We start from the raw sequence: 13,277 nt of genomic DNA on the forward strand, positions 1-13,277 counted from the left end.
TCTGCTTTGCCCCTAACCCCAACCTGGCTCTTAGCTCCAGCAGCTGTCACAGAGCCTGGTCAGGCTGTTTTCCCACCCTCTACTTCCCCTTGTCCTGGCCCATGTCCACCCTTCTCCCTGCCCATGTCCACCATTCTCCCTATCCCAGCCTCACTCTGACTCCTGGCCCCAACCCTGACCACTCTCCATGCCTCAGAGTCTCACCCTCAGCCTAGCCCTGCCAGCAGGCCCCATCTCCTCCTCTGACCTCAGCCTTGTCTCCGCCTCACACCCCAGGTGCCTCCAGCACCTAAGCCTAGAGTAAGGGGCTCCCTTCTCATCTTTCCTCACTCCTCACAATTAAGGAAACTCCATGGCTAGTGTGCATACCACCCGGGCTGGAATGCACCAAATGTCAAGTCAAAGGGGGTAGGACACAGGGAACCCTGCCTGGCGAGAAGGGGAGCTGAGCTAGGGCTGCTCCCGGACTCTGCCAGCAGAGGGCGCTGCAGCGCACCCCCCCTCCCCCCCCCCCCCCCCGCCACCCGGTGCCTGGCAACGGGCATGGGCCACGGTAGTGCTGGTGGTGCTGGTGGTTTAAGCTCAGGCAGCTCAGTCCTTTCTAAAGTGCTATGCGTGCTTCCTGTGGTATGGGAGATAACTGTAGATACGAGGCACGTGGAGAAACATTTTTTTAAAATGTTAAACCTTTTATATTTAGTTTAACATCTGTTAGAAACAATACAACCAGGCCATGCGCGGTGGCTCACACCTGTAATCCCAGCACTCACTTTGGGAGGCCGACGCGGGTGGTTCACTTGAGGTCAGGAGTTCGAGACCAGCCTGGCCAACATGGTGAAACCTGTCTCTACTAAAAATACAAAAATTTGCTGGGTGTGGTGGCCCGTGCCTGCAATCCCAGCTATTCGGGAAGCTCTGAAGCAGGAGAATTGCTTGAACCTGGGAAGAGGAGGTTGCAGTGAGCCGCGATTGTGCCACTGCACTCCAGCCTAGATGACAAGAGTGAAATTCCGTCTCAAAAAAAAAAAAAAAAAAAAAGGAAAAAGAAAAAAAGAAACAATACAACCAGCTCATCGAAAGTCTGATTTCTGGCCAGGTGTGATGGCTCACGCCTGTAATCCCAGCACTTTGGGAGGCCAAGGCAGGTGGATCATGAGGTCAGGAGATCAAGATCATCCTGGCTAACACAGTGAAACCCTCTCTCTACTAAAAATACAAAAAATTAACCGGGTGTGGTGGTGTGCACCTGTAGGCCCAGCTACTCGGGAGGCTGAGGCAGGAGAATTGTTTGAACCCGGGAGGCAGAGGCTGCAGTGAGCTGAGATTGTGCCACTGCACTCCAGCCTGGGCAACAGAGTGAGACACCATCTCAAAAAAAAAAAAAAATTGTGATTTCTGGGATCTAGTTGCTCAGAATGATGCTGAAGTGGAATTCTTTAAAGATCCACTTAGGACAAATAGTAAGTAACTCCACACTCGGAAGGGACACAGGTAGAGGAAAACTTATGACTGTGGAAGTGAATGGCCTGTTAATTTGGGGAAATACTGGGTTACCAGTGGACTTAGGGTGAGCTCCACAGCTAAGGATAGGGCCCAAGTTAGAACTGGGGTAAGGATGGGGTGGGCTTAGAATCGGGGTGAGGGTTAGAGCTAAAGTTCAGGGGAGGCCCCAGGTTAGGATTTGGGATTAGATCAGATGGAGGGGCACATTTGGTGCTTAAGGTTGAGAATAAACCTTAGGAATTAGGAATTGAGTTAGAATTGGGGTGAGTTAGGAATTTAGTTAGAAATGGAGTTAAAGTCACTCTTCAGGCCACAAGTCTTTGTGACTTTAGTAACTGAAAAGTCCATGGAACTGTGAACAGATGGGCAGGAGCTTCTCGACCCCCTAATAGGCACCCCAAGTTCAATCTGCCTTTTCCCCCAAATCCTCTTCTAGAAGCACCTGGCAGGGGCTCTGCCTGAGCTCACAACTCCAACAAGGTCAATGTACACCAATCGGATTGGAGGGACTGAGGAGTGGGCAATCCTGCCCAGGAGGGAGAGCATGGGACAACCAGGTAAGACAACTGGGTACCAGACACGATTTCACCATTTAGCACAAGTAACCTTTAATCTTCCCAACTGTCCTATGTGGTTACAGCCCATCTTCCTCCTACAGAGGAGCACAGCAGGGCAGCAAGGCTGAGTACCTCGTCAGGGTCATTAAACTTGTATGTGGCAGAGCTGGGATTTGCCTGCGGGGAGCCTGTGTCTAGACTGGCACCATCTGTGGCCTACATCATGGAGCGCATGGCCACGTGTTGGGGGACAGGCTGCCTGGTCTCTCCTTCTCTCCTTTCTGTGCTCTCCTGAGTTGTCAGTCTCAGGTGATGCAGAAGGCAGGTCTCTGGAAGCTACCCCCACCTTCTCATCCCTGTGCTTGAACTTTCATTTTAATTTTTTCATTTAGGGCAGTGTTTCTGGACCTTTTTATAATTATTATTATTGTCCTCTTAAGGAGCATTTTTAGCATCTTTTCCCAATTGTGCCTCCCTGTATGAAATTTTAATACCATAGATACACTGTACATTCCATAGGATTTTCTAGATACAAGATCGCATCATCTGCGAATAGAGATGGTTTTACTTCTTCCTTACATGGACATATGTATGGACTGTGAGCCTTTGGAGGGTCAGAAACCATGGTAATAGCCAAGATGGTCAACTGCCCTTCCTCCCCTGCCTTTTCATCCTCTGTGGGGTGATAATGCCTCTGTTGAGAATGCATGATTTAGGGTAAGGCCCCACCCCGTTACAATGTAGGTAAGAAGTGGTCACGGGAAGGAGTGGGTGGGATGCGGGCTGCACCTCTATGTGGGTGGAGACTAGGTGGGCCAGATGGAGGGAGATGGAAGGGAATGGAGATCCAGGTTTCTGAGAACACACTCGCCTGTAGTGGCCTTGGTCCTGGTCCCAGGCACAGGCACAGGCTGAGCCTGGGGCTAGGGGAGGAATGGGGCCAGTACCGTCACTTATTTTTGTCTCTGAATCCAGATGTCAGCTCCAGACCCGCTGGACCTGAATAAAGCAAATACCTGTGGAGACTCTGTTGAGAGAAGAGTCTAGAATTTCAACAGATTCTCCCCATACTAAAAGCAAACAAACAAAAACAAAATGAAACAACCAAACAAACAAAAACAAAAAACAGGAAGTTTGGACGTCTCTGTTCACCCTTACAAAATGCATTTGCTGTCAAGTGAGGGGAAAATTCCTTCATTCTTGGCTCAAGGAACTTCCTTAAACTAAGACCAGCTGCCTGGACTGTGCTAAATTCAGTTTATAAATATTATAAATATCCCAAACTTGATAGCCAAGCACATTACAAAAGCTAGCTAGCTAACCGCAGAAATTTTCCAAAATGCTAGCCAGTCAGACAAGTATGAGATATTGTGAAATCCTGTGTTGCTTGTCTGATTTCCTGAAATCATTCCTCTCAGACTGAGTGCAGAAGGCCTGGGGGTGGAATTCAGGAGCACTGACTATCTCCTACAGTTCTAGAGCCTTAAAGCCCTGGCCGACCCCAGGGTGGATTGATTGCACAGTAAGTCAGACCAACCAGCTGGGCGCAGTGGCTCATGCCTGTAATCCCAGCACTTTGGGAGGCCGAGGCAAGTGGACCTAGGGTCATGAAGAAGGTGGAGGCACTGAGGCCCTGAGTGATTTTATAAAGAACACCTTAGCAAATATCCAGCACTATGGGTTCACCTTCACTCAGGACCCACAAAGCCCCACGTTCTGACAGATTTTGTTTATCAGACAAATTGCACTTAGTCATGCTTCATTCATTTTTCTCGGAGACTTCCCAGGTTACATAGACCTGAGATAATCTCCCCATCTCGCCGTCACCCCCCACGAAGTCACTCCATGTTTCTGTTTGCAATACAGTCTTACATGGATCAATATTAGATTTTCATGGTGCTCTTTGCATTTTGCAACTATTGCTTAAGCTGGAGACCCAAAACGAGCACTAGCTTTAGAGTCAAAGACTCCTGGATTCCAGTTTCAGCTGAGAGACTGTGAGCACATCGCCAGCCCACTCTGATCCTGTATCCTATTTGTACAATCACCTATTTCCCATCAATTGCAAGGCTGGAAAGAAAAGTGCCCACTCTGGCCAGTACACGGTAGGAGCTTAGTAAGCTTAAGCTCTCTTGCTTCCCCACTACCCTAAAGTGTTAGGGGAAAGACAGATGTGGGGAATGTCACCTGGGAAGCTCCAGCTGTATGCTTCACAATCCTACTGAGAGGTGACAGCCTGCTGGCAGCCCTGGCTCGCTCTCGGGCCTCCCCTGCCTTGGCTCCCACTTTGGCGGCACTTGAGGAGCCCTTCAGCCCGCCACTGCATGGTGGGAGCCCCTTCCTGGGCTGGCCGAGGCCAGAGCCGGCTCCCTCAGCTTGCGGGGAGGTGTGGAGGGAGAGGCGCAGGCAGGAACCGGGGCTGCGCGCGGCGCTTGTGGGCCAGCGCGAGTTCCGGGTGGGCATGGTCCGCAGGCCCAGCACTGGGAGCGGCCAGCGGGCCCCGCCAGCCCCCCGCAAGTGAGGGGCTTAGCACCTGGGCCAGCAGCTGCTGTGCTCGACTTCTCGCCAGGCCTTAGCTGCCTCCCCGCGGGGCAGGGATCTGGACCTGCAGCCCTCCACGCCTGAGCCTCCCCCCACCGCCCCGCTATGGGCTCCTGTGCGGCCGGAGCCTCCAGGACGAGCGCCACCCCCTGCTCCATGGCACCCAGTCCCATCGACCACCCAAGGGCTGAGGAGTGCCTGCGCACGGCGCGGGACTGGCAGGCAGCTCCACCTGCGGCCCCCGTGCGGGATCCACTGGGTGAAGCCAGCTGGGCTCCTAAGTCTGGTGGGGACTTGGAGAATCTTTATGTCTAGCTAAGGGATTGTAAATACACCAATCAGCACCCTGTCTCTAGCTCAAGGTTTGTAAACACACCAATCAGCACGCTGTGTCTAGCTCAGGGTTTGTGAATGCACCAATGGGCACTCTGTATCTAGTTACTCTGGTGGGGGCTTGGAGAACCTTTATGTCTAGCTAAGGGATTGTGAATGCACCAATCGGCACTCTGTATCTAGCTCAAGGTTTGTAAATGCACCAATCAGCACTCTGTGTCTAGCTCAGGGTTTGTAAATACACCAATCCACACTCTGTATCTAGCTAATCTAGTGGGGACATAGAGAACTTTTGTGTCTAGCTCAGGGATTGTAAACACACCAATCAGCACCCTGTCAAAACGGACCAATCAGCTCTCTGTAAAATGGACCAATCAGCAGGATGTGGGTAGGGCCAGGTAAGAGAATAAAAGCAGGCTGCCCCCCCCGCCCCCCCCCGCCCCAGCCAGCAGTGGCAATGATGCTTAGATTCCCTTTGACGTTGTGGGGGTTTGTTTTTTTTGGTCTTTGAAATAAATCTTGTTACCGCTTGCTTTTTCAGTTCACGGTGACTTTATGAGCTGTAAGGCTCACGGCGAAGGTCTGCAGCTTCACTTCGGAAGCCAGCGAGACCACCAACCCCCCTGGAGAAAGGAACAAGTCCAGAAGCACCACCTTAAGAGTTGTAGCACTCACGGCAAATGTCTGCAGCTTCATTCCTGAGCCAGCAAGACCACGAACCCCCCAGAAAGAACAAACGCCCACCACCAGAAGGAACAAACTCTGGACACGCCGCGAGGCGTGTAACTGTAACACACACCGCGAGGGTCTGTGGCTTTATTCTTTAAGTCAGTGAGACCAAGAACCCACCATTTCTGGACACAATGCCAATGAAAATTCTGAATTAGGCTTCAGTTTACCATCTACAAAATGAGACAGGACAGGAGTGGGTAGGAAGAGGAGCTTGGCTTTGTTAGTTTAAAGTGGGCTGGTCTGATTGTGTAACGCGGGCTTTTGTTGGCTCCAGCCAACTCCCCAGGCAGGGCTTCACTTGCTCTGAATGTCTTTTGGCCAAGTCCATGGCTGTCGAGGGTTGGGGTGGGGTGGGGAGGCGGCGTGGAGGATAGTGGGGTGGGGGTGGAGGAGGGTGGGGGTAGAGGGGGGTGGGGGTGGTGGAGAAGCAGTTCCCCCATGTAACCTGCAGGTGGCACCAGAGCAGCGCAGGATCGTGGGTTCCGCTCCAGCCTTCCAGGAGACCCAGGCAGGGCGTGGTAGGGCGAGGCAGAGGTGGTGCAGAGCGCTCAGCTGCGCAGCAGCATGAGCGTGACTACAGATCAGGCCGCACCGTTTAAAATGGATACATGGGTCTTCTGGCTAACTTCCTGTCTTTGGTAGGGTGATCATATGCTTTATCATCCAAATCCAGACACTTAAGAGAGTGAAAGGGGCACTATAATAATTGCACGAGGACAGCAGACATAACTTTAGCTGTACCTTGCAAACCAGAACATATGGTCACCCTACCCTCCGGTCACTTTTTCTTCTTTGTTTCCATTCTTTTAATTTTTTTCCCTTTTAAACACACAGCATTATCTTTCCCTGAGCACCATTGTCTTTGCAAATGCTCTTGCAATCGGGATATTTTTGACCTGGCAACATGCATATTCAGTCTGAACAGTCTCTCTGAACCTACCCCAAAACCTGGTTTTAGCTTCCAGGCAGAAGACTCTGTTCCCTGGCTTGCAACCCCCATGACTCAAGAATGAAAGATGTCAGAAGATGTCACAGGTGGGACAGTGGCTCTTATCTCAATTTTGGTGCCTCTTTGCTAAATGTATTCCTGTAATTTTTTTTTTTTTTTGAGACGGAGTCTCGCTCTGTCGTGCAGGCTGGAGTGCAATGGTGCAATCTCGGCTCACTGCAAGCTCTGCCTCCTGGTTTTATGCCATTCTCCTGCCTCAGCCTCCCAAGTATCTGGTACTATAGGCACGCGCCACCATGCCTGGTTAATTTTTGTATTTTTAGTAGAGACGGGGCTTCACCACGTTGGCCAGGCTGGTCAGAAACTCCTGACCTCAGGTGATTTGCCCGCCTCAGCTTACTAAAGTGCTGGGATTACAGGCATGAGCCACTGTGCCCGGCCCTATTCCTGTAATTTTGTTCTGAGTGCTCATTTCCTTCGTCTCTTTTAATTTACGTATATTGGTTTATTGAATTGCAAGTAGACAAGTCCCATTAAGCAGGATTCTTGTATTTCCAAGATCATCTCATTACTCCATTCAACCCCAAATTAGCATGCCATTTATCCCCTTGTTTCTGAACCCTCTTCACTTAATAGTCTTGAAAACATCCATCCATTGCAAAAAGGACTCGAACTGTTTTCACGTCCATTTTTAGTTGATTCATTGATATCCAAGTAATGATTTGTCTAGGGGAGTCATTAGTAGAGAACTGTGCCGTTAAATTTAGTTTTATAGTTGGATTCTGCTAGTTAATATCTCTCTCTTGTCATTCTCACATTGCAACAAATGACTATGGTTCCTGTCTTAACCTAAAATCCAGGTTAGAAATTTGGTTTTATCTGAATAAGATATTAATAGATAATGTGAGAAAAATAATTTACTGAAACTTTTCTCAGCTAAGAATGACACTCGTCGTCATTAAGCAAGTGGAAAATTGGGCTATAAATATATAAACTCTTAAAATATTATGTTTAGAGACAAGGTATTCCTTTTTTTTTTTTTTTTTTTTTTTTTTTTTTAGTAAAGCATATTTGCTATGGTTGGAATGATTGTGTCTCCTTTAAAATTCATACTGGAACTTAATCCCCAATGTGATAGAATTAAGAGGTGGAGTCTAGGAGATGACTAAGCTGTAAGGGAGGAGCCCCCTCATGAATGGGGTTAGTGACCTTATGAAAGGGCTTGAGGGAACTACCTAGCTCTGTTTTCTTTTGTTTTTCTGTCCTTTCCACCATGTTAGGACACTGTTCAAGGTGCCATCTTGGAAGCAGGAGCAGCCCTTGCGAGACTACAAGCCTGCTGGCCCCTTGATCTTGGACTTCTCAGACACCAAAACTGTGAGAAACACATTTTTTTTCTTTACCCGTTACCCAGTCTCAGATATTTTGTTATAACACCACAAATGGACTAAGACAGTATCTTACATACAGTGAGGTGCATATACCTAAAGTTACAACTTTGTACTATCGTTTTTTGGTTTGTTTTTTGTTTTTGAGATGGAGTCTTGCTCTGTTGCCCAGACTGGAGTGCAGTGGCAAGATCTTGGCTCACTGCAACCTCTGCCTCCCGGGTTCAAGTGATTCTCCAGCCTCAGCCTCCTGAGTAGCTGGGATTATAGGCGCCTGCCACCACGCCTGGCTAATTTTTGTATGGTAGTAGAGATGGGGTTTCACCATGTTGACCAGGCTGGTCTTGAACTCCTGACCTCAAGTGATCCACCTGCCTAGGCCTCCCAAAGTGCTGGGATTACAGGTGTGAGTCACCACGCCCAGTCAACTCAATAGTATTTACATATGTGCACACTCATGTAACCAACACTCAGCTCAAGATACAGGATGTTCCCATCAGCACAGAGGGCTCCCTCTTGCCCCTTCTCAGTTGCTGTCCCCTCACAGTTAACCAGGATCCTGACCTCTGTCACCATGGATTAGTTTTGCCTGTTCTTGAACTTCATATAAATGGGATCATTCAGTATGTGCGCGTTTGTGGCTGGCTTCTTTCATTCAACAGAATCCTGTGAGATTTAGCCACGTTTTGGGTACTGGTAGCTGTTTATTTTTCTGGTTGTGTAGTTTTCCATATTTCATTTATTACCCTTCTATTTTTGTCTCTAACTCAGTGTCTTTTGGGGCCTATTGGTCCTTTTTAGCTAGATTGATACTAAGCGTCTTCTTATCAGTGGAGCTTAGGACATTTTAGAAGATGAAAGCCTAATAACCCCAAGCCCCCCAATCTTAAGCCAAGTTTCCTCCTCACGCCTGCTTCAGTTGCTCTTCTTCATGTGGTATTTTTTCCCTCACAAAACTGATGGAAATTAAGAAACCCAAAAGCTCTTCATCATGTTATCAGCTTAGGGACGCTTGTCATCTGAATAACAGGGTAGATATTTATCATCTGAAATGTTAAAATAACTAGAGCAAACACTTATATAGCACTGACTGCTGTTCACAGTGCTTTACATATATTATTTTCCTCAAAACAGCTCTGTGAAATAGACACTATTATTGTCATTCCCACATTTTAGATGGGGAAATGGAGGCACAGAGAGACCATGTAACCTTGCCAAGGTGGTAGGGCCAGGACTTGAACCTGTTTTCTGGTTTTAGAGCCTGCACCCTTCACCACCACACCATATTGTGTAGCATGATACTTCATGTGGTTAAAGTGTTTTCTTCTATTTACCTGGGAGCATTTTCTGAATAATTTGAATCTTATAAATTTGCTTCAAAGAATACAAGTAAATCAAAATGGAAGATCTGATACAGAATGTGTAGCATTCATGAATAAATTATAGGACTCTCTGGTTTTAAATAATAATCATTTGCTTCCCTTGTGACTTTTGTCAGGCAGGGCTGTAATGCGCTCACCTCATTTTCCTTCTCTTCAATGGGAGGAGATGGGCTCAGAGACAGGCACAATTTATCGTAAAATCTGATCACACTTTCCCTCACCATCTGGAAGCTGGAGGTAGGTTTGTGAAATCTTAATTGAGAAAGAGTTGAATGCTGCTTGTAGCATAGTGAGTTTAAAAAAGGTGGTTTTTCTCCCCAATTCTGTTGCACAGGGCCCTGTGAGTTTTGGCAATTAACATATGTGGCCAACAGTTTTCTCACAAAGATTATCAGGGTTCTAGAGGAAATTATCTTCCAGTTTTAATCTGCTGCTTAAGTGCTATATTTCTTTATAGATGAACTAATTAATTCTTGGTCACTTGTTTTTATTAGACATTTCTCTGCCTCTGTACGCTGTGCTTTGTCTCTTTATGCCCAGCCCCGGGTTTTATCTTCTAACTGCAAGAAAAAGGTCATTGAAATTTTCTCTCTCTCTCAAACTCCTGGGTTCAAGTGATCTTCCCCTGTCTGCCTCCTGAGTAGCTGGCATTACAGGTGTACACCACTGTACACACACACACACACACACACACACACACACAAACATGCATATACACACACAGACATCCAAATGTATACACACAGAGACATACACATATCCACACATACTCATTAGATATACATTTACACAAACACACACGTGCACACACACATATACACACCTTGTTTCCATCATCTTCTCAGGACTCGGGGCTCTCAGAGAGTGGAAAGAGTCTCATACCATGAGTCCAGGATCAACTGTGCAACCTTGCCCAAGCATCTTCCCTCTTGAGATCTTGTTTATAATAATAAACATCCTTACCCACCAATTAGGGTTATTTTGAAGATAGAAAGGATAACAGGGTGATGGCATGTTGTATAGTTTCAAATAAAAGTTAACATTGACCAAAAAAGAGGTCTGGCCTTTGTCCTAGACTCCTGGGACGTAACTGTCAACATGTAATACCTGATAGGAATATGTTTGCGTGGGGATCTTAACTCATGATGGCTGGTCTAATAATAATAGTTAGGGTGGGGACTAGCCAGGCCAGGAAAAGCAACTAAGTGATTTAGAGTCTGGGCTTTAGGTCATCCCTGGAAGGACAGGAGACTGGAAACTGAGAGCAGCCACATGGACAATCAAGCATGCCTCTGTGATGAAGTTCCAGTAAAAACCCTGAACACTGAGGCTTGAGGGAGCCTCACTGGCTGGGAATACTCCATGTGTATTGGCACATAGCAAAGCTGGGAAGGCAGTGCACTCTGACTGCATGGGGAAGGGATAATGGACACTCTGTGCATGGTACCCTCCTGGACTCAGCCCTATGCCTGGTGCCCTCCTGGACTCAGCCCTATGCCTTTCTTCCCCTGGCTGATTTTAATCTGTATCCTTTCCATGTAATCAAACCACAGCTATAAGTATAATAGATCTCTGTGAGTTGTAGCCAGTTCTTAGAGGTAACCAAGCAGAGTTGATCTACTGCCTGCTTGAAAAAGCTATTTAAAAATCCCTAAACCAAAGAAGACCAGATCCCTCATGAATCTGACCCAGGAGGTTTTGAAGCCAAAGCTGAGGGCATTTGAAGCCAAAGCCTGGCTAGACAGAGATAAGGCTCCTGGGAGGGAACAGGTGCAGTCCTGCTCAGGCTGCAGTGTCCCCGGGCTACAGCTGGACAAGGGCTCCCTCTGGGTCACAGCCTCTAGGGACAGAGTTTGGGGCAGGTCGACTGATGTGTAGGACTCTGGTGATGAACTCAACTGGGAAACTCTGTGGTAATGGGAAGAGAATGGTTTTGCTTTTCCAAATCATCTACCCGCTGCATGCTTGGATCCACATGGGAACTCAGTGTGGAAACTACATTTGAACAGCCTAAGCCTGAACTCTGGGCCATGTGTCCAGTTTCCTGGCCTCCAGCTTTGTTCACCCCTTATCCCCACCCATCACTGATGCCAGATCCATCCTCCCAAATGTCCTTTCATCATGTTACCCTCCTCACCACCTCATGGCATCTTCTACACAACAGGAAATGCCTCCCACCTCAGCCTGGCATTCAAGGTTCTTTTGATGTGGCCGCCACTCACCACCGCACCACATCTCCCTGTGGGCCCTGCCAACTTGGATCAATTTTTCCTATCCATGAGCTGAACTTTCCCACCTCCATACTGTTGCTTACACTGTGACCTTCCTGTGCGTGTTCTTTTCCTCCCTCTTCCCAAGTCCAAATGCTATAGACTGAATTGTGTCTCCCAAAAGTTCATACTTGGAGCCCTAACCCACTATATGATTGTATTTGGAAACAGGGCTCTTAGGAGGTAAAGTTAAGTGAGGGAGGAGGGGCAGAGCAAGATGGCTGAACAGTAGTCTCTACCAATCATTCCCCCTGTGAGGTGGCTGGCTTCAGGTGAGACCCAGCACATTCCCAGCTATGGTGGCTGTGGTGAGAGATTTCTTCTGCTTGAGAAAAGCAGAGGGAAAGGTAAAAGGGACTTTGTTTTGCAGCTTAGGTACCTGTCTGGCCACAATGGGGTAGAAAGCACCAAATGGGCTCTTGTGGTCACTGATTCTAGGCCTTGGCTCTTAGACAGCATTTCTGGACCTGCCCTGAGACAGAGGGGAGCCCACTGCCCTGAAGGGTGAGCCCCAGGCCTGGAAGTGGGCTTAAGAGCCCATGGGCCCTAAGAGAACATCGACAGTAGCCTGGCAGCACTCCCTGTGCACCTGTGGTGGTGGCCACAGGGTGAGGCTCCTCTGCCTGTGGAAAGGGAAAGGCAGAGTGGGAAGGACTTTGTCTCATGGTTTCAGTGTCAGCTCAGCCACCTTAGAATAAAGCACCAGGTAAATTTCTAAGGTTTTTGACCCCAGACAGCATCTCTGGACCCGCCAGGGCCTGAGGAAACTCGTTGCCCTGAAGAGAAAGACAAGCCTGGCTGGCTTTGCCACATGCTGACGGTAGAGCCCCAGGGCCTCGAGTGAACATAGACGATAGCCAGGTAGTGTTGACAGTGGGCCCTGAGTGAGACCCAGTGCTTTGCTGGCTTTAGGTCTGACCCAGTGCAGTCCCAGTGGTGGTGGCCATAGGGATGTTGTGTCAGCTCACCCCCAGCTCCAAGTGGCTCAGCAGAGAGAGAGGGAGGGAGGAAGACAGAGAGAGAGACAGAGACAGAGACTGTTTTTGGAGAGAAACTACAGGTAAAGAATAAGAGTCTCTATTGCCTGGTAGCCCAGAGAATTCTTCCAGATCTTATCCGAGACTACCAAGGCAGTTCCTCTATGAGTCTGCAAGAACCATAGCATAACTGGGCTTGGAGTGTATCTAATAAAGATACAGTTGAGATCACAACACCCACATCCTTTCAAATACCTGGAAAGCCTTCCCAAGGGTGGGTACAAACAAGCCCAGGCTGAGAAGATGGTGGCAGCTTGAAATCAGCCATGGAAGATTTGCACCATGGAAATGGCAAACACTACAGAACAGACTTCTGTTCCCTCCCCGACAGAGAGCCCCTTGTGTAACAACAGCACTCCACTGCCCCATCCCTGAGCAGAGCGCTGTGTGTTGCAGCAGAGTGGGGGCAGGTGTCTTCTCCCTTGGGCTACAGAATACACATTTTTTTTCCCTCAGCACATGGATCATTCTCAAGGATAGACCATATCTTAGGTCACACAACATGTCTTAAAACATTAGAAAAAAATGAAATAATATCAAATATCTTCTCTGATCACAATGGAATAAAACTAGAAGTTAGTAACA

General features: G+C 48.1%; 1 annotated feature.

Annotated features, from left to right (window-relative positions):
• Positions 195-404: an enhancer, noted in NCBI's record as "active region_9740". NCBI's record gives its function as "activates an Ori minimal core promoter by ATAC-STARR-seq in GM12878 lymphoblastoid cells {active_cell/tissue: GM12878}" and the evidence as "EXISTENCE:reporter gene assay evidence [ECO:0000049][PMID:35858748]".

The sequence above is a fragment of the Homo sapiens genome, chromosome 15 (assembly GCF_000001405.40).
Source record: "Homo sapiens chromosome 15, GRCh38.p14 Primary Assembly".
NCBI lineage: Eukaryota > Metazoa > Chordata > Mammalia > Primates > Hominidae > Homo > Homo sapiens.